The 27,512-nt window shown below is 42.2% G+C and overlaps 1 protein-coding gene across 16 annotated transcripts in view, besides 7 other annotated features; it reads left to right on the forward strand.

The window, feature by feature from the left end:
* Nucleotides 383–1,032: an enhancer, noted in NCBI's record as "NANOG hESC enhancer chr2:149883850-149884499 (GRCh37/hg19 assembly coordinates)". NCBI's record gives its function as "activates a minimal SCP1, AML or CMV promoter by ChIP-STARR-seq in naive H9 embryonic stem cells {active_cell/tissue: H9 hESC(naive)}" and the evidence as "EXISTENCE:reporter gene assay evidence [ECO:0000049][PMID:30033119]".
* Nucleotides 10,816–10,875: an enhancer, noted in NCBI's record as "active region_16622". NCBI's record gives its function as "activates an Ori minimal core promoter by ATAC-STARR-seq in GM12878 lymphoblastoid cells {active_cell/tissue: GM12878}" and the evidence as "EXISTENCE:reporter gene assay evidence [ECO:0000049][PMID:35858748]".
* Nucleotides 11,499–11,838: a silencer, noted in NCBI's record as "silent region_12002". NCBI's record gives its function as "represses an Ori minimal core promoter by ATAC-STARR-seq in GM12878 lymphoblastoid cells {active_cell/tissue: GM12878}" and the evidence as "EXISTENCE:reporter gene assay evidence [ECO:0000049][PMID:35858748]".
* Nucleotides 11,746–27,512, forward strand: part of LYPD6B (LY6/PLAUR domain containing 6B) — a 176,564-nt gene continuing 160,797 nt past the window's right edge. For all 16 annotated transcript variants that reach the window (XM_047443412.1, XM_017003366.2, XM_047443404.1 and 13 more), the window contains exon 1: nucleotides 11,746–11,848. The gene's annotated coding sequence lies outside the window, so the exon portion shown is untranslated. The remainder of the gene's footprint in view (nucleotides 11,849–27,512) is intronic.
* Nucleotides 11,849–12,008: a silencer, noted in NCBI's record as "silent region_12003". NCBI's record gives its function as "represses an Ori minimal core promoter by ATAC-STARR-seq in GM12878 lymphoblastoid cells {active_cell/tissue: GM12878}" and the evidence as "EXISTENCE:reporter gene assay evidence [ECO:0000049][PMID:35858748]".
* Nucleotides 12,089–12,138: an enhancer, noted in NCBI's record as "active region_16623". NCBI's record gives its function as "activates an Ori minimal core promoter by ATAC-STARR-seq in GM12878 lymphoblastoid cells {active_cell/tissue: GM12878}" and the evidence as "EXISTENCE:reporter gene assay evidence [ECO:0000049][PMID:35858748]".
* Nucleotides 12,179–12,238: an enhancer, noted in NCBI's record as "active region_16624". NCBI's record gives its function as "activates an Ori minimal core promoter by ATAC-STARR-seq in GM12878 lymphoblastoid cells {active_cell/tissue: GM12878}" and the evidence as "EXISTENCE:reporter gene assay evidence [ECO:0000049][PMID:35858748]".
* Nucleotides 22,299–22,508: an enhancer, noted in NCBI's record as "active region_16625". NCBI's record gives its function as "activates an Ori minimal core promoter by ATAC-STARR-seq in GM12878 lymphoblastoid cells {active_cell/tissue: GM12878}" and the evidence as "EXISTENCE:reporter gene assay evidence [ECO:0000049][PMID:35858748]".

Genomic DNA, 27,512 nt, shown 5'->3' on the forward strand with positions numbered 1-27,512 from the left:
TTTTTTCATTTCAGAACTAAGAAAACTTGACATTTGTCACTTCAATTCTGAAAAGATAGCAGCTGTTGTAAAAAAAAAAGTGTCTTATTAGCTTTTTTAAAAAGTAGGATTGACTGAAAGCTCAATAGAGCAGTGTATTCACTGAATATCTGAATTTCTTCTTGCCTGAGAACGGCATTAATTCTCCACCAAATGAATTGGAGCCCTGTTTGCATATGTTGAAAGATTATCAGCATCTTTTGAGGATTGGGGTGTTTATATTCCTGTTTAACCTACTGATTCATAGCGTTAATGTACAGGTCTGAGATCTCGTGAGAGGACACCGGAGCATGAATCCTTTGGGGGCTAACCAGTGCCAGGACACAGGATAATTTTTTTTTCTGCTCTCATAACAAGGAGACTTCCCTACCTTAGGACACTAGAATCGTGTGACCATGCATGACATTGTGTATGTAAAGCATCCTCATTCTTGTGCTTGGTTTGATTAATGGTGCATGAGAGCCAGACAGTAAACCTCTTTCCCTTAATTGATTAAAAATGTAAAGGATAGATGTCAAGTGAATGTGTAATTAAGGGCACTGCAAATGGTGTGCTTTTATGCTGTCTTATCCATCTTTTTCGAAATTGTTATTCTCCCAAGAACTCTGAAGAAGTTTCCAGATATCAGATTGTTAAAAGTGACTTATGTAGTAAACTTCAAACGTGGTGGTTGAATATTCAGCTGATGCCTGTGTGTTTTAGATGGGAAAGCAGTTGTCTGAAAGAACCAGATTACAAAGCAAATTTCAATATCAATGGGAAATGACCCCCACAGATCCCAGAACACAGCAGCTCTGCGATGCAGTCAGACTGCGTTGATGCCAGTGTTCTCTTGGTTCCTGCAAGACTTTCTTGAGGTTTCTTGTTTCCGCAAGCTCTGAACTGGGCTCTGGCTTTGCCTCAGAAGCACAGAGCTGGAGCATCTGTGGGAGAAAGTGGAAATGGAGCAATAATCTGCAAAGGCAATTACTGGTGATGTGTGTATTGGCAGGTTTCATTCTAGCATTTGTGACAGGTCGTGTCTTGTTATTTGTCTTGTGTACATAATACACTGAACAGAGGTAGGAGTCACCTCTTGGATGACACATTAGTTGAAAATGTGGGCTAACTTGACAAAAGGCATCCTGAGCCATGGAATTTTCACTTTCCTTTTGGCGTTTGGTGGTTCTTCGTCCAATTTGCAAAGAAAACACAAATCTCTCTGTGGGGTTAGTTGGGTTCAAAATAATTTTTAAAAATCCCATACCAACCACTGTTGGTGGTCTTTCTGCCTCCATTACCCTGGATGGCAAAGGCTGGGATTCTCCATCTGCTTTGCTTCAACAGCAGTTTGTTCTGGACTTCCAGGAGGCCCTCTTTGCCGTCGAGCACCTTTTAACCCTTCACCCTTCCCCATGCCCAGATCACAAATGATTCTCATAGTATAGCTGTTCAAGATTTATCTACAACAATATTTTATTCCTTCAGAATGTAATTAGAGAAATTGACAAACTTGTTCTGGATGAAACGAAACAGCATCAGAATCTCGTAATGCTCAGAAAGCTGCAATAAGCAGTCAGCTATTTCCAGGGCACTATTCTGGCTGTGTGCCAGACACTGTTTTAAATGCTTTACATGTATTAATCCATCTAATCTTCCTAATAACCCCGTGAGGAATGCACCATTATCTCTCCTTTACAGGTAAGGAAACAGGCGCAGAGAGGTTAAGTAGCTTGCCCAAGGTCTCACAGCCGGCAAGAGGAGGCGCCAGGATTGAAACCCACACAGTCTGGTTCTAAGGTTCATGCTCTCAACAGGTAGTAATACTGCCTCTCTGAATAGTGATTGGGATATACATATATATGTGTGTGTGTACCTCTCTCACTCACTCTCTCTCTATAGTGGTAAGCAGCAGCCAACCTCAAAAACCCTTTTGTAAAGAATTTATACAAAGCTTTATGCCTTTGCAACTTCTCTGTGCTCTCCTTTCATTGGAATCTGAGACCTCGTTGTTATTTGAATTACTTTAAGCAATCAAATGCATCTAGGAAAGAAATAATAGTGAAGGAGGATGCCTCACAGCAAAGGTGCCTGATGACACTGAACTCTACAGGAAGGCTGCGTTTCAGTAGTGCCCTTGTCAGAATCTTTTTAATACATAGCATACTTAGAAGTGTAGCCATTACTCTGTCAGTTTTCAAATTATGTGTCATAAGAATTTAACTTATCCTCCATGTGGATTTTTTTTTCTTTAAGATGCTAATTCTCTCTGTCTGCATTAAAACATGTATAACCTATATTCTTCTGCTTCTTCAGTAAAAAGCTCTCAGTACTCTCTTGCCCCACCTGAAATGGCTCTCAGGGAAGGGCTGAGGGGCACTGGATGAGTTTCCTCTCATTCTGAGGGATGGGTGAGGCCTCAGACGAGGCTGTCCCCTACCTCACCTCTGGCCCCATCATGATTAATGGGATCTCGTTTTAGAGCTTTAGGTTTTAGAAAAAAGAAACATGCCAGTCATACCACACATGCATGTGCAAGTCCAACCACAGAAGGCTGAAAACAGTGGGGTTCCCTTACGAGCTCCTCCCTTTACCTGTGCCTCTCCTGTCTGAGGGTGTTCTGATGGGCTACCGGGGAGCAAGGCTGGTGGCAGATGTGTCTAGGTGACACGATGCTGACTCCATCAGCCAGCGTCCACCTGGCTGCCTGCCTGCAGACCGCAACCTCCAGCCCAGTGTCCTTGCTGCCCTGCAGCACCTTTCTGGGACCTACATGCAACAGCAAAATACCTCTGGAGTACTGGCTGGCAGGCAGTGGTACTACTGAGTAATTCCACATGGAAAGAATGATGCATGCGGGACCTGGATCCGACTCTCAACTTCCCATCCACCGGCTGGCTGGGGGATTGTGTTCCAGTGGTTTAACTATGCAGAGTCTCAGTGAGCTCATCTCCATACCTGAATTTAGCCCACGATGCTCCATTCTTCACAGTGCCTTTCAGGGATCAGATAAGAAACTGTAGGAAGACATTTTATAACAGTGCTACTCAAATATAAGGGATTGTTATTGTCAAAAACTTCCTAGGAGAATGTATGTTCATCTTGGACCCCAGCTATTGCCTTCTACCTAGCATCACCAATACTCAGAGTAGAAGAGGAAAGAATATGCGGAGACATTGGGAATTGTCTGATTCTACCCAGTGACATCAAATCTCTTTGTAGCTGTCCATGTAGGGTTCTTTCTTTTCCCACTCTCTTGGTCAGTTGGGGCTGCTATAACAAAGTGCCATAGACTGGGAGGCTTATAAACAACACACATCTAGTTTTCACAGTTTTGGAGGCTGGAAGTCCAAGTTCAGGGTGCCAGCCAGCGTGGTCAAATTCTGGTGAAGACTTCTTCCTGGTTGTGGACTCCTGACTTCTTGCTGTGTCCACACATGGTGGAAGGGAGGGGGAAGCTCTCTGGGGTCCCTTTTATAAGGGCACTGGACTTATTCATGACTAATGACTAATAAACTCATCGTGATGACCTAATCACCCCAAAAAGCTCTACCTGCTAATATCATCACATTGGATTAGGATTCCAGCATATTAATTTTGGGGAGACACAAACATCCATTTCATTGTACCCACTTCTCCACCCTCTTTCCTCTTGGGGGAAAACCCACTCTTAGGCTATTTCATGAGTAAGAGAATGTGACATACCCTCTGAAGTATGGTGCAGGGAATAGGGTTTCAGGCTAGTTTCCACACTCTATGCGTTGTGGCTTTTCACACCAGAGGGCTCAGGTAAGTGCCCTTCACTCAGTGTCCTGGTGCTGGATCATGAATCAAGTCCATTCAGTTTCCCATACGTGGAGGCAGAAGCCCGGTAATCAAGGTTAATGCTGAGAGACGAAATCCTGGCAGAATATTTGTAGGAGCTTAACAAGTTCCCCAAAGGGAGATTAGAGATGCTCAAGGAGTCACTTAGCCGAACCAGCACACAAAAGCACATTCGGCTTCTGCCAGCATCTGGAAACAAGGTGTCTGCTTCCCTTCCATAACCCAGGTATTGGAAAGTTCGTGTCCCAGCACACACAGCAGAGGCAGGAACCCACTGTTCAGTGCAAGCTGACTCTGTCCACATGTGGGCCTGCTGCTCCTAAATACCAGATGACTATGATCAGGGCCTCTGCTTTAAAAAGTTTTGTCTCCAGACTGTCATAAACCCATGAGAACATCAAAATCCAAAGAGTTGAAGTCACATGTTCAAGACTACTTTGTTCGTTTTGACTGCAGAGCTCAGGTTCCGTCTCTTACAGTCCTCTGCTTGTCCATCTCAGTGGTACGGATTGGAAGCTGCTGTAGAACCCCGCTCCCAATCTTCCCTGTGAGTTGTTGTCAACAAATAGTGCTTTGCAAATAGCTTTCCCTTTCATATATTGAACAAATAAATTGGAGAGTTCTTAAAGAAATAAAGAGTACATCACCAGGACTTAGAAGAGAAGACTATGAGGGACATTGGGAATCATCTAGTTCCACCCAGTGAAGTCAAATGACTCACCTTGCACCATGCACACCATCAGGAGAGAGCCCAAGCCCGGCGCGCCACCCGCTTCCTCAGGGCTCACTCTGCTGCATCAACCCTCAGCAGGCAAAGACCAAAGCTAGTCACAAGAATGGCACTGGCAATGCACCTTCCTGACTCCATTAGCCCAAATATTGACATTAGTTGTGTGGAAATGTTTTGCCACAGTCATCTGTTGAGTGAGTACTGTGTGGCAGGAGCCCTGTGATCAAGAGTGAACTTCAGCAGTGTAGACTGGAGTTCCAGTGGTTCCAACTCTTTCCTTATCCACTAAGTGCCTCAAACAAGTAACCTAACCTCTCTTAGTGTCGTGCCTGGCTCACAGTGCATTCTGGAATAGCTAGTCCTTCACATGCATTCTGGAATCTCTTACAAGGAATGAGTGAGGGTGGCACTGTTATTCACCCCAAATACAGATGAAAAAACTGAGGTGTGGAGATGTTAAATGAGTTGCCCAACATCACAAAGCAAGGTAGTGGTGGAGCTGGCTCCAGAGTCCACATTCTTAACCAAGAGGCTGAGCTCTCCTGGGGTCACATGGCTGCTGAGGAGTGCAGAGGGACTGGGTTCACATCCTGCCTCACTTCCTGAGCTGAGTTTCCTCCCAGATCTAAGCTGCTTCGTATGGAAGCAGCTGAAATTTTCATGTGATGAACTGAAAAAGCCTTCTGTAAAAACGTTAGTGTTCATTCATTATTTCAATAAATATTTGAGCACCTATCTTATACCAAAGATTGTTTTCAGAGCTGGAGAGAGATGTGAATAAGACAAGACAGAGTCTTCATTTCCTTAGAGGCAAATTATAAACAAATGAACAACACTTTCTAAAATGACTTCGTATATTCAAGTGCTGTGAAAAGAATAAACCAGGGTGCTGTGATGGCAAGTAACTCCAGTCTAGTTTTGACTGGGTGGTCAGGGAAGGCCTTAGTGAGTGAGGGAGCCAGCCATGCAGAGACTGGGAGACAGTTGCAAACAGATGAACAGCAACTGCAAAGTTCCTCAGGAAGGATTGTGCTTGGTGTGTTAGTGGTAATAGAACTCTGATTTTACACAGATAACATTCTCCACACTGGCATTTCTTTCCCTCATTTACCTATCAAAAGGACAATGAGGGCCAGGTGCGGTGGCTCACGCCTATAATGACAGCACTTTGGGAGGCCAAGGTGGTAGGATCACTTGAAGTCAGGAGTTCGAGACCAGCCTGGCCAACGTGGTGAAACTTCGTCTCTACTGAAAATACAAAAAAAAATTAGTTGGATGTGGTGGCACATGCCTGTAATCCCAGCTACTCGGGAGATTGAGGCAGGAGAATCGCTTGAACCCTGGAGGCGGAGTTTGCAGTGAGCTGAGATCGCGCTGTAGCATTCCAGCCTGGGCACCAGAGTGAGACTCTTTCTCAAAAAAAAAAAAAAAAAAAAAAAGACAATGAGTATGTTTGTGTTGCTTTCAGAAGTAAGAAGCAAATTGGAATAATCAACTTCTTCTTTCCTGGAAATACAATGCCAAAGGCATTTGCGCATTTTTGTGGCCAGCAATGTTGTGAGCAGACCCACACATCTGTAGCCCGCGCTTCAGTGCCTGCTCTGAAACCCAGGTAAAAGAGGACAATTTCATCCTGGCTGATGTGTTTTAAACAGCCAAGCAAATTCACGTGGATCCACAGGCCCCAAGAGTATAAAAAATAATAGAGGGGTAAATATGGAAAAGCTGATTTGCTGCCCAAACTCAGGGTCAAGCACAGGTCTGAGCAGGCCACCTGTATCTTTTTAGAATTGTCTTCTCAGTGAAATGGAGCTGCTGCTACCTGCCACCTTGGAAAAACTGCTTGCTGGCCTCGTACGTGAGGGGTATGCCCAACTCACTTTGGGGAGGTTATTTCAACTTTTTACTACATCAGGACTCTGCGACCGGTGAACATCAAAAACCCAAAGAAACACGCACATCCTTGCCTGCCCTTGGTAAGCCTGGAGAGAATTTCACTGGTCAATAACAGATGATTCTGAATTTTGCCTGATTATTCTGGAGCTGACATTTTTGGGTGTCACATTTAACATGGACATTTTTGAAGCATAACTTTGATAACCACTCTTGCTGAGGCAGCTGCCTGCCCTGTTCTTGCTTCAGATTCAGTTCCTGCTGAGATCTGCGTGGAAAGAAGTATTTCCCACTATGGGGCTCACACAACTAAATGGCACCACTGAAATTCCCTGTCAAGTCCCCTGGTTAGTGTCTAATTAGTGTGTGGCTTTAGGAAGTGGGACAACACATTTACATTTTTGCAGGCTGTTACCTGAACGTGATCGCTGAATAGCGTCAGCTGTTCAAATAGTAATGCTGCATACAATGAGAAATGTGAGAGGGTGTGTGTGTGTATGTGTGTGTGTGTGTGTGTAGGAGGACACACCCCCGCCCGCTGGCTGGAGTGAGGTATCTGCAATCCTGTGTCAACAGGGGTCTAGGCTTCCTTAAGATTTAAGCAGCTAACACAGAGGTGGCTGCACTGTTTTTTTTTTTTTGTGGGGGTCGGGTCGGGGGTGGGAATGGAGTCTCGCTCTGTTGCCCAGGCTGGAGTGCAGTGGTGCGATCTCAACTCACTGCAACCTCTGCCTCCCGGGTTCAAGCGCTTCTCCTCCCTCAGTCTCCTGAGTAGCTGGGATTATGGGCACCCGCCACCATGCCCTGCTAATTTTTGTATTTTTAGTAGAGAAGGGTTTTTGCCATGTTGCCTAGGCTGGTCTCAAACCCCTGACCTCAAGTGATCTGCCCGTCTTGGCCTCCCAAAGTGCTGGGGTTACAGGTGTGAGCCACTGTGCCTGGCCAGCTGCACTTCTTACTCTCCTCCTAAGAGAAGCCCGATTTTGTTTTCAGAGTGCTCCTTGTGTGAACTGGGGTTGTGGGAAGGAGTGACATTTCCCTTCCTTTGTTCAGACGGGGTGAAGACTTAACTTACAGGTAAGGGAGGCCCTTGACTGACGTGGGGTGGGAACTGTTTCGAGCTGTCCTTATCTCTGGGCCTGTTTCCTGACCTGTGAGATGGGCCTGTTTCCTGACCCGTGAAATGAGAAGGTTGGGTGGGATCAGTTTCCCAGGCTTGCCTGTGGTGAGTAGCCCCCGGAGTGCTCATTCAAAAGCCACTCTGCTCTCCCGAATGAGAATGTTTAGGAGTGAACTCTGTCATGAGCAGGCATCCAAGTGATCCTCCCCTTCAAGGATGTTTGGGAATGGTGGTCTGCACAGTCTCTAACAGATCTTCCAACTCCAAAACTCCTGTCCCGGCTATGTCTGGAAGGCAGTGACTCCTAACTATTCCTGAGACCCAAATGGCTTTGCAAGTCTTACAACAGCTGTGGATGTTCTGTTTAGTAAAAACGTATACAGACACAGAACTTCAAATTCAGTTGCAGGGTCTGTGGCTTTTGATTAAGAATTCCTACTTTAAGGTTAACCCTTGAAAGAGAATGTAAGCATTCACTTGAGCCAGGCATGAAGCAGCTGCTCACTAAAGGTCAGTTATTATGCTATTTCTGTGTCTCAGCTTTTCTATGAAATTCTCATATTGTTGTCTCATTGTATAGGTGAGGACACTGAGGCATAGAGAGATTAACATGCATTGTAAGTTGTGGCTGAATTTGAACTCAAACAGTCTGATTCCAGAGCCAGTGTGAACTTAAAATCTGGGCTGCCTGATAAAGTGGTTATCAGTTTTGCCTACTTGAATTCATGGCACTTTCTGCTCCTAATATTTCTGGCCACTTCCCTATACCTCCTTATATTAGTCATAATTAAGTAAGCAGCTACTATGGTATGAGGCCACCACTTCTCCTGTTGTCCTTCCCAGTTTCTCCCCAACCTCCCCTTTTCCCTAGTTTATAAGACAGGAGAAAAGGGAGAAAGCAAAAAGTTGGAAAGAAACAGAAGTAAGATAAATAGCTAGACGACCTTGGCACCACCACCTGGCCCTGGTGGTTAAAATAATAATAATATTAACCCCTGACCAAAACTACTGGTGTTATCTGTAAATTCCAGATGTTGTATGAGAAAGCACTGTAAAACTTTTTGTTCTGTTAGCTGATGTATGTAGCCCCCAGTTACGTTCCTCACGCTTACTTGATCTATTATGACTTTTTCATGTAGACCCCTTAGAGTTGTAAGCCCTTAAAAGGGCCAGGAATTTCTTTTTCGGGGAGCTCGGCTCTTAAGACATGAGTCTGCCGATGCTCCTGGCCAAATAAAAAAAACTCTTCCTTCTTTAATCTGGTGTCTGAGGAGTTTTCTCTGCGACTCGTCCTGCTACACTACTATGTGCCAGGAATGCTACACACATTGTCTCATTGAAAAATGTCCTCAGAAAATGATATACAGTATTTTTTATTTTATTTTATTTTTTTTGAGATGGAGTTTCACTGTTGTGGTCCAGGCTGGAGTGCAATGGCAGGATCTCGGCTCACTGCAACCTCTGCCTCCTGGGTTCAAGCAATTCTCCTGCCTCAGCCTCCCAAGTAACTGGGATTACAGGTGCCCGTCACCACGCCCGGCTAGATATACATTATTAATATACATGTTGAGTCCTAAGTAAAGACAGGAAAAATTAGGAAGGTAAATATATCCTAAGGCTCAGAAGTTTTTTGGATTGTTGCTTCTTTGGATAATTTATATTTCATTATATTATCAGAGAACTAGAGATAGAGCAGAAACTGAAGATTTTCTAGTTCAAATATCATTCTCCTAGAGACCAGTAGAGAATAGCAATAAATAGTTATTTGTAAAGATTAATTAATTCATTCTAGAGTCTTATGAAGTCTATCAGTGGTTTTGTCCCTATTTCCAGCATTTTAATGTTGATCAGAAGTGGGCTGGCTCTCTTTGCACTGCTAGGCAGAGCTACTGTTCACTGAGCAGGTGCTTTGTGCTGGCGCTGTGCTCAAGCACTTTACGTGGATTATTTAACTTAGCCACACAACAGTATCAGAACTTCTTATTTCAGATACCCCTTTTAAGCAAAAAACTTCAAACAGAGATCTTGTCTGATTTCATGGCTGCACATTTTCCAAGTAGGAAAAACACACAATTGAGGAACATGCCCAAGGCTGCTCAGCAAGCACAGGAGAGAGAGTGGGGTGGGGAGGGAGAGATCACGTGCAAGCAAGCAAGCACTGGGGCAGAACCTGTACCCTCCTGATGATTCTCAGGCCTGTCTGGGTGGCATCACTTAGCAGGCTGGCCCAGCCAAGATCACACGCACAGCAGCAGGATTTTAAATCACAGGGGATCACATGCTCTACTGACTGAAACCAACACAAAAAAAGGTCTAGGTCCATTTCATGTGAGTGAGACCCAGAGGTGCTCCTTTGCTCAGCCCTACCTGCTGGTGCAAGTGGCTGTCCCAAAGTGCAGGCCCCACCACAGCTCCACCCTGGGACACCAGATTCCCTGCCACCATAGAGGGAGTAGCAACTGAGGTAGGGCACACCTAGGTGGGGCATCCCATATAACCTTTTCTAGGTTGGCCTTGCCCAGTGTGACGTAGCCAGCCAGGTAACACCAGATCTGAAATACCCATATGTGCAGAACCCACTGAAGGGGTGGGGTGTCTAGACCTTAAGAGTGTTGGGCTTGTTGTCAGTGGAGGGGTGGAGCAGTCTTCTTGGCCCTGACCTCACCTTAATAGAGATCCTCCCATTTTGGCCTTGGAGGTTTAATATATAGTCACGGAAGTGTACTGAAATAGTCATAAGAAGGAATGTTCTCCATACAACTTTAAAGTTGTACAGTGCTTTCTGCAGTGAAATGAATTTTTTCACGGAATGGATTTTTTTAACGAGTCTTGAAATTAACATGTGAGGAGCAGCATGACACATTACCTCGTGTGTGTGTGTGTGTGTGTGTGTGTGTGTGTGTGTGTGTGTGAGTGAAGGCCATTTGTTAAATGGAACACCTAAAAATACCATTGTTTTTGTTTTTGCGGTTGTCAGGGGCCTCAATAAATGCAAGCTGGCTCAGGAGATGCTTGACCTCAGAGGTCTGGAAAGACAGATTAGAAGTCTCAGCAGAGGACCAAACCCAGACCCCACTTCTGCAGAAGTTCTGTACCCAGGTTTCCCCACTGCAGGCATAACCAGCAGCCCCTCAAAGGCCCCAGACCAGCCAACTGTCTTTAGAAATGCAGACCCAGGATCAGCTTTGCTACCAGCCATGGAATCTTGGGTCAGTGGCCCATACTCTGAGCTGTGTTTCCACAGTGCAAGGCTGGCCGGACAGTGTTTTATTTCAGAGTTCTCCTGTCTGTGGCATCTTCAGAAGTTAAAGATTTGCTTGACCACTATAAGGTGCCCTGGGAGTGTAGACCTCCCACATCCCAGCTGCCTGGCTGGCAGTGGGTGGGGAGTAAGCAGTAGAGAGAGGACAGGTGGCCCGGAATCTAACAGCTTGCCTCTGGATTCTCCCTAGTAAGCTTGGAATGATGCTGGAGCAGCTCTGGGCCGAGGGGACCAGTCTAACGCTGGACGCAAAAGACTGGGCGCCACCTAGTCTGTTCATCAGGTATTAAATGCCCTGAGTTTTCAAAGCTCTGGTGATTCAGTAGTGGACGGGTAAGGTTCCTGCCTCTCCTGGGGCTTACCGTCCAGGGGTGGGGAGGACGTCACTATATGAAATTATCTTATTTATAGCTTAATGTCATTATTTAAAAAGGGGGAGGGAATCACTTGACGGGTGGGCAAGGTGGGGACGGGGTTGGATGGAATGGTCAAAAAAGGTCTTTCAGAGTTCTTCCAATCCTGAACTAACTCACCTGCACCCTTGGCCCAATCATTTTCACTCCCGAGGGTCTGCACTCCTCGTTTCTACATTGGTTTTCTAGGAAGAAAGGGGTTGGACCCTCCCCTCTTTAAGCTGGGTGGGGTCCGAATCCCGTGCTTCTTTCACTTCCTGAGCCGGGCTGGCTGGGTGGGAACAGGCTCCTTGCCGCCTCCCCAGCGCTGGCCACTACCACACTGCCGCCCGCCTGGGCCTCCTTTCAACCTCGTGGTGGAGCCCTGCGGTTTCCCAGCGGAGCCGGGCCCGGGGCTGCTCCCTCGCGGGCGAGGCTCACCTGTCCCGGCCCGGCCCCCTCCCGCGCCCCAGGTGGTTCAGGGCAGGGAGGAGCCGCGCCCCGCCCCGCGCGGTAGCAGCCAACGCCGGCCCCAGGCGGGTGCGCTGGGAGCCTGGGCCGGGAGCCGGGTGAGGGCGCCGAGAGGCTCGGTGGGCGCGGGCGGCGAGGTGAGCTGGGCCAGCGCAGCAGGCGGGGGCGGTGGTGGGTTCGGGACGGCTCACCCCGCGCCGGAGCGAGTGCGGGGCCGCGCGACTGCGGCGGGAGATGCGCTGCGCCCCTTCTGGGCGCGCTGGGGCAGCCAGGAGCTCGCGGGGCCGCGGGGCCGCGGGGCCGCGGGGCCGCGGCGCAGTGGCGGGGTCGGGGTCTGGTCGCTGCCTCGAGGCGAGCAGCTGCCAACATCTGGACGGGACGGGAGCAGGGGGCCGGGGCAAGGCTGGAGCGGTGTGGGTCTCTAATCGTCCAGAGCCCTGCGGGGCCAGTGACTTCGGCAGAGCCGAGGGGAGAGGAGATACTGGGGGTCAAACTGCTGGAGAGAGCGCGGAGCTGGGGCTGGGGTTCAAGGCCGATCGTGGGGCCAAGAGCGAGCGTGCCAGCTCCAGTGTTTCCCCCTGCAGCGCTTCACGCGCGACCAGCTTGGGTGCCGCCGCTTCCCTTGCCCCGGCTCTTTACTTTTGTTGTTGAATAACCTACCTTACACATTGGTTAGTTACCTGGGGCTTCTCAAAAGCCGGGTCTGGAGGCTGCTCTGACTCCAGGGGGCTTGGGTTGTGAGGCTTCAGGTCTGTATGCCCTGTGGCGTTTGGGGGGAGCTGGTGGGTGGAGGGGTGCTGTCCACCTCCCAAGGCCAGGGGATCAGAGAGTGGGAAAAGTCTAGAATGCTATTTAAATTCCAGTAACTAGCTGTGTGACCTTGGGCAAGTTACTGAACTGCTCTGAGCCTCAGTTCCCTTAAAGTAAAATAGGTATTATTAATATTATAATCATTACAACAGACTTAGGTTATATGATGTTCATGGAGTACATAGCATACTGCTTGATTTTTCCCCCTTTGTGTTGATGTGGTGATGTGTGTGTTGTGGGGTGGGGGCATTCTTTCCCACCCTGACTTGTTCATGGTTAGGCTTCCTCCAGGATGCCTTACTTGCTGACAGCATCACAGAGGCCAAGATTAGGGCTGCCAGTGCACGGGCCCTGCAGATGGAGGGGGTGTTGTCAGACTGCCCTCATCATTACCCATCGTATTTGTCAGAATTGTTTTCTTTGGGTTGGGTTTTGGTCACTTGAAAATTGCCTTATACTATGTAGAAATTGATTGGGTCACATAAATGAAAAGGTCGAGGGTTTCAGTTTAAAGCTATAGCTAGTTCCAGAGGCTCATACAAGGTTCCAGGGCTAGTTCTCTCTCTTGTATATCTTAGCTGTTTTTCTCTCTGTGTTTACTGGTTCTTAGTATGGACGATAAATAGGACTTGCACCTTCAGGCTTATCTGCTCCTTCAGAGAGAGAGACAGAGACAAAGAGGGAGAGAGAGAATCCCATCTTCTCTATCCGTATAGCAGTCTCTCTCTGTCTCTCTCTCTCTCTCTCTTTTTTTTTTTTTCTTTTGAGACAGACTCTCACTCTGTCACCCAGGCTGGAGTGCAGTGGTGTGATCTCGGCTCACTGCATGCAACCTCCACCTCCCAGGTCCAAGCGATTATCCTGCCTCAGCCTCCCAAGTAGCTGGAGTTACAGGCGCCGGCCACCACGTGGGACTAATTTTTGTATTTTTAGTGGAGATGAGGTTTCACCATGTTGGCCAGGCTGGTCTCGAACTCCTAACCTCAAGTGATCTGCCCGTCTTGGCCTCCCAAAGTGCTGGGATTATAGGAGTGAGCCACTGCACCCGGCCCCTTATAGCAATCTTATTGACATACTGGACCAAAACAGAACCAAGCCATCTCAGCAGACAGGGAGAGGTTTACACAACAGGAATGGGCACATGACCGACTGTGATTGATAGACTGGCCCACCTCTGCTGCAAGGCATGTCGGTAGGGGGCGCAATTCCCAATGAGAAGTCTGACAAAACAGGACATGTTCATTTTACTATCTCTGTCTTTGCTCACCAGCGCCTAAAGGTAGTCTGCAGTAGAATGTAGACAGCCTGAGGGCCGTATTCCATCAGTCAAGTCTTCATCTAATGCATGGAGGGCATCCTGTGTGTCCATCTTTTCATTCATTGTTTTTTGTTTATTCATTCATTCGACATATAATAAATGCTCAACATATGCCAGGGCCTCTGCCAAGGGCGAAAATGCTTGCTTTTGAGAAGCTCACAGTCTAGTTGGAAAGACAGATATGAGGATAACATCGTCTAGGACTCATCTGTCTGGGGACGTAGTGAAGACTCCCCAAAGAAACTGTAGTTGAGCTTTGAATTGAAAATGAGCTCCAGCCTGGGCAGCAGAGCAAGACTCCGTCTCAAAAAAAAAAAAAAAAAAAAGAAAATGAGAAGGGCTGGTCTAGGAGAAAAATTCTAGGCCATGTGGTAGGATTCCAGAGGGACACTTTTTGTTGTAATATGTTTAGGTTACTCTACTTTCTTGCTTAGAACATCTGAAGGTAGGTCGTTCGAAGTGGCCACAGCTCTTTGGTGGCTTCTAGAAAATTATCTTCTTTTTCCAGGGTGACTAGAGCTCCATCATGCCTTCACATGACAACATCCAAAGCAGAAAAAAGAAGGCCGGGGCTTGCTGCTTAATCTTTCTCTAGATAATAAAGGACAAATTTTCCCCGAAGTTCCCCGCGTCACTGGCCAAAGTGGTCTAACGCTTACCCTGAAACCAGTCATTGGCAAAGGAGAAGAGGGGCCCATGATTGTTTTGCCCAAGCTATTTTCCGGAGCTGTAGGAGGGGCTCACCTACCTGAGCATCCATGCTCCATGTCTGAACACAATCAGAATTCTGTTAGCAAGGAGGAAAGTGAGACTGCCTGTTGGGCTGTTAGGTAGGCAACAAACTGTGTCTCCCAGAGGTGGGGACAGGTGATGCAAGGTCTGGCACAGATTGGTAATCAGAAGTCCAATACCATGGGAGATGCCTAGGGTGTGGCTGAGGGGAGGAAAGGAGCTGAGGTTGGAAAAGTAAGTAAAGACAGGACTACCCTGTATTAGATTCCATGGATGTCACTAAGAAGCATAGTAAATCTTGGTCCAATTCCTCAACAAGCTTACACCTGAAACCTGGAAAAGCTTCTCTGAGTTTTCCATACTCCCAATAGTAATAGCAACAGTGGCTCACTCTATGGTGGCAATTCTCAAGGGGTGGATTGGGGTGGAGGAGTTTCAGAAGAGTTTCAAACCCTGTGTAGTTTGAAAAGCCTCACATATGATTTTGCTGGGCACCCACTGCCTACCTTCCCCGGAAACTCCCTGTCCCTCTCTTGAGAACACTTAGTTGCTCTAAATCATGACTTTGTTTCAGTATTGTTAACTGTCTTCAAACTAACAGGCTGGGACTTGGTGAAGATGCAATTAATGGTAGATCCTGGACTAGTAAACAATTCTCCTGATGCTAAGTCCAAAGAGCGATAACTTTGGTAGTTGCATTTAGTAGGAAACCAGCCTCTACCATGAACTGCTTTGAAATCATGTATCCTATTTTCATCTGAAATGTGAAGTGAGTGCTGCACTTTGTTTCTGCTTTATATGGTAGACATTGGTGGACATTGGTGCTGGACTTTTGGAATCAGATTGGGCAACCAAGGATGCCGCTTCTCATGATCCTCTATCCTCAATATCTAGTTAGCAAAGAAATTGGCAAAAAGACATGATCACTAATGCTGGAAGAAAGCAGAAGTGGAGGGCAGCATATTTTCCTGTTTTCAGCAACAATACTGCCATGGGCTGGCCAGGATCACTGGAAGAATGTGAGGGAATGAGGTAGAGAGAAATGCCTTGGGCAGTCATTTATTTCACAAATATTTATTGAGCATCTACTGTGTGCCAGACACTGTTCTAGGTGCTGGGGATTGGAGCTTACAGTCTACTAGATGGAGACATTTATTTATGTTTTGTCTAATAAGTCAGGCGGTGAGAAGTACAGAAATAAAAAATAAAATAGATCCAGACAAGAGTGCAGTCATTAGAAACAAACTGGATATAGTGCTGGAAATCATGGCTTATTCTCTCTTGTTTCCAGCAGAGCTATATGGTCTAAGCAGGTAGGGTTTTGGGCAAAAAGGACAGGTGTTCATGTGGAAAAAGACAGTTAAATGTTAAATAACTCAATTTTATAGGATTTCTTTCATGCAGAATTTCTTTGATTGTTTGTTATAACTCACATTGTTCCTAAATATGATTTATAATGACTTACAAAAACATGGTACCAGGTCATGAGAAATAAATGTAGAAACATGAGCAAAGGGAAAATAAGGGTCATTTCTTTCATCATTATGTTCCAGAATTGTTTAGTTTTGGTAGCAGGGAAAGGAAGAAATACGGTGGTTACAAATGTGGTGATTCATGCTCAGGGTTCATTATTTAAAAGAAGAGAAAATAAATTTTGATGCCTCAGGAACTTGTACTTTCTTTTGGTGTTTAAAGAATCAATTTTATTTGATAGAAAAAGTGGTCTCTTTACTAAGGACTTGTATGAAATTTATCTCCTGAATTCAAAGAAAACTAACTTCTTTTGGGTCAATATAAAGTACACCAAAAGTTAACAGATCAAAAGTCCAATTCCAAAGTTAAATAATATGCTACAGATACAAATTGATGAGAGGTTATGTTTGGACCCATTACTGCCTGGAAAAAACAGAAACGCAAATAAAATTTTAAAGTGTTGAAGTGTTTTGCAGAGGTAATTTTAACTACTTGCTTTTATTGAGTTTTCTTGTTGTTCAGTACAATAATTTGGATATAAGTCTTGTGTCAGAAATGTAATTTGTAAATTACTTCTCCCAGCGACTGCCTTGTCATTTTTATTCCCTTAACAATGTCTTCTCAGAGCAAAAGTTTTAATTTTGATAAACCAGTTTATCGATTTTTTAATACATCCAACTTTTATTGTTGTATTGAGGAATTCTCTAACTAACCAAAAAGTCTTGAACATTTCTATTTTCTTCTAGAAGTTTCATGTTTTATGTTTTACACTTAGGTCTATGATCCATTTTACTTTAATTTTTGTATAAGGGATAAAGTATGAGTCAAAGGTATTTTCTTTTTGGTATGTGGGAGTCCAAATGTTCCAGCACCATTTGTTGAAATGACTGTCCTTTCTTCCCTTGAATTGTCTTAGAGCTTTTGTCACTAATCAATTAGCTAAAATGTAAGGGTTTATTACTAGACTCTCAATTCAGTTCCATTGATCTGTATGCTTACTTCATGCCAACACTACAGTATCTTGATTATTGTGGCTTTAGAATACATTTTGGAAGCACATAGTGTAGGCCCTCCAACTTTATTCTTTTTCAAAATTGCTATGACTCTTTTAGTTCTTTTGCCTTTCCATATGAATTCTAGAATTAGTTTGTCAATATCTACAAAAAAATCCTCCTAGGATTTTGAATGGAATTGTATTAAATCTACAGATTAATTTAGGAAGAATTGACATCTTTACATTATTGAGTTTTCTAGTTCATGAGCAGGGTATAACCATCCATTTATTTAAGTCTTTGATTTCTTCCATCAGCACTCTGTAGTTTTCAGGATATAGATCTTGCACATATTTTGTTAGATTTATACTTAGGTATTTCATTTTGGGGATTGCTGTTGTTGCTGGTATATAGAAATAGAATTTATTTTTGTGTGTTGGTATTGTATTCTGTGGCCTTGCTAAAGTTACTCATCTGTTTTAGGTGGGTCCTTTGTAGATTCTTTGGAATTTTCTACATAGACAATCATATTATCTGTGAATAGAGACAGTTTTATTTTTCCTTTCTAACCTAAATGCCGTGTCTTTCTTTCCTCCCTCCCTCCTTCTCTTCCTCCAACTTATTGCACTGGCTAAGAATTGCAGTACAATGTTGAATAGCAGTGATAAGAGAGAACATCCTTACTTTGTTTCTTATCATGGAGCAGGCAGCAATAAATCTTTCACTGTTAAGTATGATGTTAGTTGAGGTTTCTTGTAGATACAATATGATGTTAAGAAATTTCCTTTGTACTCCTAGTTTATTGACAGTGTTTTTTAAAATTATGGGTGGATTTTGAATTTTATTGAATGCTTTTTTTACCATCAACTGACAGAACCATATGAGTTTTCTTAATATTTAATATGGTGAATTGCACTGATTGATTTTCAAATGTTGAACCAGACTTACATTCTCTGGATAAATTCCACTTGGTTGTAATGTATTTTTGGAGGGGACTAGGTAGATTGGTATTATTTATTCCTTCAGTGTTTGGTAGAATTCTCTAGTGAAACCATTTGGTCCTAGAGTTTTCTTTGTTGGAAGGTTTTTAACACAAATTTAATTTTATAAATAGATATAGGACTATTCAGATTATCTATTTCTTCTTGATAAGTTTTGTTAGTTTCTATCTTTCAAAGATTCAGTCCACTTCACCTAAGTTGTCAAATTCATTGATACAGAATTTTTTGTGGTGTTCTTTTATTAGCCATTTATGTCTGAATGGTCAGTAATAATACTCCCTCTTTTATTCTTGACATTATTAACTTATGTCTTCAGTCTTTTTCTTGCTCAGTCTGTCTAGAGGTTTATCAATTTTACTGATCTCTTCAAAGATCCAGATTTTGGTTTAATTTTGTCTATTATTTTTCTGTTTTCAATTTAATTGATTTCTGCTCTTATTTTATTATTGCCTTCCTTGTCTTTGCTTAGGTTTAATGTACTCTTCTATTTTTTAAGGGATAAGCTTATATTACTGATTTTTGTTTTAATAGAAGTATTTAATGCTATACATTTCCCTCTAGGCCTTGCTTTAGCTGCATTATACAATTTTGAAATGTATATTTGAATTTTCACTTAGTTTAAATATTTTAACATTTCTTTTGAGACTACTTATTGACCCGTATGTTATTTTAAAGTATATCATTTAATTTTAAGATATTTGGGGATTTTCTAGAAGTTTTTCTGTTATTGATTTCTAGTTTAAATCTTTTATTATCCTAGAATATGACTTGCATGATTTCTGTTCTTTTAGATTTGTTCATATTTGTTTTATGACCCAGAATGTGGTTTATCTTGGTGAATTTCAATGCACACTTGAAAATATGTGTATTCTGCTATTGATGGGTGGGATGTTCCAGAAATATCAATTAGGTCAAGTTGCTTGATAGGGTTGTTCAGGTCTTCTGTGTTCTTATTAATTTTCTGCTTGTTTTCTCTATAACCAAGAGAGGAATGTTAGCATTTCCAGTTACAATTGTGGATGTATCTATTTTTCTTTTTACTCATATCACTTCTTACTTCATGTATTTTGACTCTATGTTGTTAAGTGCATACACATTTAGGGTTGTGATGTCCTCTTGGAGAACATCTTGATCCCTTTCTTATTATGTGATGTCCCTCTGTATTTCTGTTAATATTCCTTTTTCTGTAGTCTGCTTTGGGTGTTAATAATACAGATACTCCAGCTTTTTTTGGATTAATGTTTGCATTGTATATCTTTTTGTGTTCTTTTACTTTTAACCTATATTTAGGTTATAAAATAACCTGTATACTTAAGGTGGCTTTCTTGTGGCAACATATACTTGAGTCTTATTTTTTCAACTAATCTGACAATATCTGTCTGTTAACTGGTATGTTAGACCATTTACACTTGCTATGCTATTGATATGGCTTAATTATAATCTACCATCTTGCTAGTTGTTTTCTATTTGTTCTATCTGTTCTTTTTTTTTCTTGTTTCTTGAGCTTTTTTTGTTGTTGTTGTTGTTTATTTTGTTTTTTGAGATGGGGTCCCGCTCTGTCACCCAGGCCAGAGTACAGTGGCGCAATCTTGGCTTACTGTACCCTCGACCTCCTGGTCTTGAGCATTTTTTTATATTTTCCTTATCTCCACTATGGACTTCTTACCTATGCCTCTTTACATTTTTTTAGTGATTGCTCTAGAGTTAATAATATGTATCTTTAATTAATTAGAGTCTACTTTCAAGTAGTATTATACTGTTTCATTTGTAGTCTTATAGCAGTATATTTACAGTACTTCTCTTTTATGTTTTGTGCTATTGTTATTATCATTTTTTAATATCAGCTATAAATAAAAGATTTTTTGCTTTAGACCAGGGGTCAACAAACTTTTTCTGTAAAAAAGCCAGAAAGTAATTATTTTAGGCTTTGAGGCCATAGATGGTCTCTGTTGCATATACTTTTATTCTTAAACAATTCTTTACAAATGTATTTCAAAAAACATTCTTAGTTCATTGGTTATGCTAAAACAGACCAGGGGCTAGGTTTGGCTTGTAGGTTATAGTTTGCTTACTCCTGCTTTAGACATTCAGTTATCTTTTATAGCAATTAAAATTAAGAGAAAAAATAATTTTGTTTGATTTTCATTTATATCATTTCCATCATTGTTTTCTTTGTGTAGATCCAAGTTTTGGTCTGGCAACGCCTGGATAACTTAATTTAACATTTGTTGTAGTGTAGGTCTCCTGGCAATGAATTCTAAGTTTTTGTTTCTCTTTGATTTCTATTTTTCCTGCATCTTTGGGAGATATTTTACTGGGTATAAAATTCTGGGTTGACAGTTTTTACGCTTGATCTTAGCTAAAAGGCTGAGAAGCAATGGGTTGACAATTTAAAAAAAAAATTCAGGACTTTAAAAATGTTGCTTCATTCTCTTCTTGTATGCCTCTGACAAGAAGTCTTCTGTAATTCCTATCTTTGTTCCTTTTCATTTGATGTTTCATTTTTCTTTTGCTGCTTTCAAGATTTTATTTTTGTCTTTGGTTTTCAGCTCTTTGAATATGATATGCCTGGGAGTGTGTGTGTGTGTGTGTACATGTATGCATGCGTGCACACTCTTGATATTTATCATACCTGATGTTCTTGAGCTCCTTGGATCTGTGATTTGGTATCTGTCATTAATTTTGGAAAATTCTCAGCAATTATTTTTTCAAATATTTCTTCTGCCTATTTTCTTTCTTTTCTCCTGAAATTTCAGTTACACCTAGGTTTGAATTTATGATACAGTCCCACAGCTCTTGGGCACTCCATTCGTTTTTTGCTTGTTTTATTCATGTTTTTTCTCTTCTTATTTAGTTTGGGTAATTTCTACTGATCTATTTTCAAGTTCAATGATTTTTTCCTTTGCTGTATCAAGTCCACTGAAGAATGCCTGTTGAAAGCATCCTTTATTTGTTACTGTCTTTAGCCTTTCAAATATTTCCATTTGATTCTTTCCTGCAGTTTTTCTCTCTGATAACATTTTCCATTTAATCTTTCAGATTGTCTACCCTTTCCACTACGGACTTTTATAATTAATTTTGGTTATTTAAAATTCTTTGTCTGATAGCTTCAGCATCTAGGTCTGGTTCTATTCATTGCAATGTCTTTTCGCAGTATGATCTTTTCTTGCTTTTCTCATGCCCTATAATTTTTTTTTGTTGATAACTAGACATCTTATATAGGACATTAGATATGGAGATAGGCTTTATGCATGGGAATGGGCACGCCGTTCTCTTTTTACCAGGCCTTTAGTGTGAAGATTGATCAATCTAGTCAGAAGATGAACTGGGTTTGAGGGTTCTCATTCCTCTGGTTATTCTCAGTGTACCCCCAGACTTCAAATTCCTCTAGTGATGCCTTGTATTTAGGGTTGGAGCTGGCTTGCCAAAGGCCTTTGCCATTCCCATCTTTTGGTCTTCCTGTGGTACTGGGCCCCAGAGTGGTCTGTCTCCATGCTCTTTCAACTCTCCCAGTGGTAGTCCATTGTTATTTGTGACCCGATGCTTGTTAGTCAGTGTCCAGGTACATCTGCCTCAAGTAGACAAGTGCTCATGTCTTGTCTCTTCCTGCAAGTGCCTCTCTAGATTTTGGGCTAGTTTGTTCTCCTTTGCCTCAGTTTTCTCATGGATTTGAGAAGGTTATGATCTTGTGCTTTACCTGGCTTTTTATTTTTTGTAAGCATGGTAATAATGTTCTTTTCAGTTCTCTACATCCTGAGCAGAAATCAAAAGCCCTGATTTCATGTTTTCAAGCTCTTTCTTTTGGTGATCTTCTTGTAAAATACTGGTGTCGTTTCCCTTCCACTTATGCTTTATCAAATATAATTTACACATTTCATATGTATAAATCAGTGGTTCTCAGCCCTTACTTGGGAAGCATGAAAAGGAAACACAGATTTTGGGCCCCAGTGTTTCAATTAATATACGTCAGGATTAGGTATGGATATCGTTTATAAGCTCCCCAGGTGAGTCTGATATTCATCTGCATTGAAAGCTCCTGGTCTAAGTATCACTTTCAACCTTGCCTTTCACAGAGGTGTTATTCCAATGTAAATGGCCAAATGAAGTCTCAGCCTGTTTATGTCCACCCTATAGAATCAGTTCTCTCCTAATGTGCCTTCAGTGGTACACAGTGCCTGTGATCTAAACTGATAGTCTCTTAGAATGGGGAGAAAACTTAAGAGTTCTTCTCATTTCACTTTCAATGACTCTCTCATCATTGAAATGTACCCTTCTCTAATCTACCAGTTTGTGTAACTCACTACCTTGCAAATTGTTTTGAAATTAGTTTGCATGACTCAGTATATGAGCATGTGTGCATGCACATGCACACACACACACACATGCTCTCATACACGTGACACTTTATGAAACAGTAGTTACTCTTACAATAAGTCTTGTACCTCTAAATCAATTACATGATGCACCAATGTGTTGCTTCTTACAGTATGAAAAACACTCGTTCAGTCCATCTTCCAGTGGACAAGCTTTGGAAGGTTTCAAAACAGGTCCCTTAGTACCTCAGAGTGCTCTTGTGTCTGGTGTAAAGCTGATTCCTCCAGCAGTGTTTCCAGCTTCTTCACTACCCTGGCCAGTTTTATGCGCTAGATACTAGAGCCGGTGCTAGGTAACATGCCCAGGATTTCAGAGCTTATGGCTTGTTTGGGGACACATGACATGCAAGGTGAGTGTCAAAAAGTTATGTTGTGAGTAAGTGCTCTTAGAGGTCACAGATGAAAGAAAGATCAAACAGGTGGTCAGGAAAGACTTGATTGGGGCCTTGAAGGTAAGCATCAGATATGTATGGAGTGTAAGGTATTTGGGGATGGGGAGGATTCAGAGGGAGGAAAAAGCTATGTTAGCAGTCTCCCAACACCTTGGCTCTCTCTAGGAGTGACTTGGATTCACAGTAGCTAAGAGAATCTGTAGGCTAGATACAAAGGGGAAATCTAATTTGAATTGTTTCTATAGCAGAGGATAGGCAAAGTACACAGAAGGTACTAGACTCAACTCCCCATATTCCCCTTGCCCCCAGGTCAGAGTCTTCAGGGGCTGTGACTCTGACAAGCGTAGTTTGTATGTTGCTCTGGACTCTATTTCTTGTCATGGTGAGTGAGGTTCAGCTTGCAAGGGGTCAGTTCAAGGCTGGTAGATTTAAGACCTGCCTTTTTGTGACTTCTGTCAAGTTTTGGAGCAATCACCGATAGTTACTGGCCTAGTTTTGTCCACCTTTTCTTCTCGGGGGCCCTTAACCAGCTGTATTACTAAGAAATGTAATTCTCAAAGTATGCTACATCTACTGCTCTTCATGATCCATTTCACCCTGGAGACAGTCTTCTGAGCATTCTTGCTCATTGTGAAACCACGTCACCATCAAAATACTGCACAGAAGCCAGATATTACATCATTGGTATCGTGTTGAAAACATCTCCTGCATTTTGGGACTATTTCACTAGGGTGAAAAACAGAAAATGAAGTACATTACCGAAAAAATAGGCACGGTGTGTTTTATTTGTCTTTTAGTAAGGTATGGGAACCACAGTTTTTAGGCAACTACAGGAAAGTTAGAACAAAGATGAGGGCTGCAAGTAACCCACTGCTGTGCCAGCACCACAGAGGTGGTATTAGTGTTACTGAGAAATGTGCATTATACATTTCTCCTAGAATTTGGAGCTGGGATTGTAGTTTGTCTCTTGGGAAGAGCCAGTAGGTCAAACAGGGGACACCTCTGTTTTATATTTCTCTTTTTGCCTTGGCACCCAGGAAGCCCGGAGCTACAGTTGTAGTGATAATTTTATTTCAAGTTATAAGTTCAAAGATTTCCTGTCTTAATATGATTTCAACTTTTTAAAAACAATAACTTTTTTCTTATTACAAAGATGATATATATTCATTATAAAAGATGTATAAAATAACATGTTCACACCCCAACCAGATATTTTCCTACCACACAGAAATAGTCACGGTTTGCATTTTAATCTTAATCATTATAATTTATTCTAAACATATATGTATATATTTATACATATACATATATATTACAAAAATGAAATCTCTTTCACATTACAACTCATGTTTAAAACATAACATTTATCAACATTTTCTATGTCATTAAATATCCCTGAACAATATTATTATTATTATTATTTTTTTTGAGATGGAGTCTCGCTCTGTTGCCCAGGCTGGAGTGCAGTGGCACGAACTTGGCTCACTGTAAGCTCCGCCTCCTGGGTTCACACCGTTCTCCTGCTCAGCTTCCCGAATAGCTGGGACTACAGGCACCTGCCACCACGCCCGGCTAATTTTTTCTATTTTTTAGTAGAGATGGGGTTTCACCACGTTAGCCAGGATGGTCTCGATCTCCTGACCTCATGATCCACCCGCCTCGGCCTCCCAAAGTGCTGGGATTACAGGCGTGAGCCACCGCGCCCGGCCAACAACATTATTTTTAATGTATTTTGTATTTAATCATGAAGGTATATCTGTTGCTATACTTTCAGCTAGAATTCAGCTTTTTGCTATTATAAACAGCTCTGTCATATACATTCTGGTAGCTGAATCTCTGAGCACACCCATGATTATTTTAATAGAATAAGTTTCTAGAAATGACATAAGTGAGTAAAGGGCTATATATTATTATTATTATTTATTTTTGAGATGGAGTCTCACTCTGTTGCCGAGACTGAAGTGCAGTGGTGCAATCTTGGCTCACTGCAACCTCCTGCTCCTGGGTTTAAGCGATTCTCCTACCTCAGCCTCCTGTGTAGCTGGGATTTCAGGCATGTGCCACCATGCCCTGCTAATTTTTGTATTATTAGTAGAGACAGGGTTTCACCATGTTGGCCAGGCTGGTCTGGAACTTCTGACCTCAAGTGATCTGCCCGCCTAATCCCAGCACTTTGGGCTATATTATTTTTAAGGCTTTGGATATATATTTCCCATGTTGTCCTCCAGAAAGCATGAACTAATTTATTTTATCACCTGGGAATTTGAGAGTGCCTTTTCTCCTAAGCCTCATACAATACTAGGATTATTATTATTATTTTGAGATGGAGTCTCGCTCTGTCACTAGGCTGGAGTACAGTGGCACAGTGTTGGCTCACTGCAACCTCCGCCTCCTGGGTTCAAGTGATTCTTCTGCCTCAGCCTCCCGAGTAGCTGGAATTACAAGCACGCCCCACCACACCCAGCTAGTTTTTGTATTTTTAGTAGAGATAGGGGTTCACCATGTTGGCCAGGATGGTCTCGATCTCCTGACCTCATGATCCGCCCGCCTCAGCATCCCAAAGTGCTGGGATTACAGGTGTGAACCATGTGCCTTTCCAGGATTATTATTTTTTAAATCTATGTTAGGAGTCAGGACTTCTGGCTATGGCCAAATGAGGAGGTCAGCAAGTTCTCTTTCCCTGAAAGCTACTATAAATCTGGACAAAATGAACAGAAGCAGCCATTTTATCACTCTGGTAATCTATCAAAGGCATGCAACAACCTGAGAAGAATTTATTCGTGGAAAATTGCTGAACTTCAGGTAAGGACACTGGGAGTCTGTGGTCTTGTCTGGGGCTACTCCCTATTCCCCACCAACCACAGCTCGGTGGGTGCAGAGGTGTTGCCTGGGCAAAGGAGATGATGAACACCAGCCCCACTGCTGTCCAGATTGAAGGGACTTGCTCAATTTGCAGCATGCCAAGTGGGTGACTATGCCTGTGAGTGCTTTTTGAGTCCCCTTCTTCCCTGTTTTAGTTTACCTTGACTCTTTAAAAAAATAAAATAACAATGTTCTTTTATTCTAAACATTTATGTTTATTATGGAAAAAGGGGAAAATAAACATAAAGAGAAGAAAACGAGAAGCCCCCATAAGCCCATTTGGTGTCCATTCTTCTCTATTGGCTTGTTTCAATGGAGGCTTCTGCCTTGATGGAAATGCTGTCTGCCACCCCATACAGTAGCCACTGTTCTTGGGAGGCTATTGAGCACTTGACATGTGGAAAGTGCAACTGAAGAGTTGAATTTTTTAATTTTGATGAATTCTAATTAATTTGTATTTAAATATTCGCATGTGTCTACCAGCTAGTGTTGGACAGAATAGTTTTATGATTTCTATAATATGGAGGTATGATAGATACCTTTCATTCGTACATACATACATACATATGGAGGTAAGATAGATACATAGTTAAAAAAAACAAAATAGGATCATACTGCACATTGTGCTTTTATATTCCTTGTCTTGCTAACAGTATATCATAAACATAATTTTAATGACCGAATTGTATTCTGTTGAATGAATGTACCATAAATAGCTTAACAAAGTCTTCATTGTACCTTTAGGATATTTCCAATATTTTGATACTATAAACAACATTGCAGAGAACGTGTTTACAGCTAAAGTTGTAACATTCCTAATTATTTACTGAGGTTAAATTCTTAAATTTGAACTATTGGGTCAAATATAATACCCATTTTCAAACCTCTCTTCCAAGAAGTTCTATCACTGAACATTTTCATCAATAGTATATGAAAGTATCTCACTGTTATTATTTAATTGAGATATAATACACGTACCATAAAATGTACCTCTTTAAAGTATACGATTCAGTGGTTTCTGATATATTTAAAAAGTTGTGCAACCATCATCACTACCTAATTCCAGGAGGGTTTTATCACTCCAAAAAGAAATCTCATACCCATTAACAATTGCTTCCTGTTCCCACCTCCCCCCATTCCCTGGCAACCACTACTCCACTTTCTGTCTTGATGGATTTGCCTTTGCCTGCTCTGGACATTTCATATAGATAGAATCCTACAATATGTGGTCTCTTGTGTCTGGTTTCTTTCACTTGGCATATGCTTTCAAGGTTTGAGGTTCATAATGGTTTCAAGGTTATAACATAAGCCAGTACTTCATTCTTTTGATGGCTGAATAATATTCCGTTGTACGAATACACCACATTTTGTTTATCCATTTATCAGTTGATGGACATTTGGGTGGTTTTCACTTTTGACTATTACAAATAATGCTTCTGTAAGCATTCATGTATAAGTGTTTGTGTGGAATGTTTTCAGTTCTCTTGCATATACAATTAGGAGTATAATTGTTGGATCATATGGTAACTGTATGTTTAACCTTTCAGAAGTTGCCAGACTGTTTCCAAAGCAGCTGTGCCATTTTACATTCCCACAAGCAATGTATGAGGGTTCCAATTTTTCCATATTCTTGCTGATGATTTTTTTGTCAATCTTTTTGCCATAGTCATTCTGGTAGGTGTGAAGTAATATTTCTTTGTGGTTTTAATTTGCATTTTCCTAATAACTAATGTTGTTGGGAATTTTTTGATATGCTTACTGGCCATTTGTATATCTTCTTTGGAGAAATATCTGTTTAAATACTTTGCCATTTTAAGATTTTTTTGTCTTTTTATTCTAGAGTTATTA

This window comes from Homo sapiens, chromosome 2 (genome assembly GCF_000001405.40).
Source record: "Homo sapiens chromosome 2, GRCh38.p14 Primary Assembly".
Classification (NCBI taxonomy): domain Eukaryota; kingdom Metazoa; phylum Chordata; class Mammalia; order Primates; family Hominidae; genus Homo; species Homo sapiens.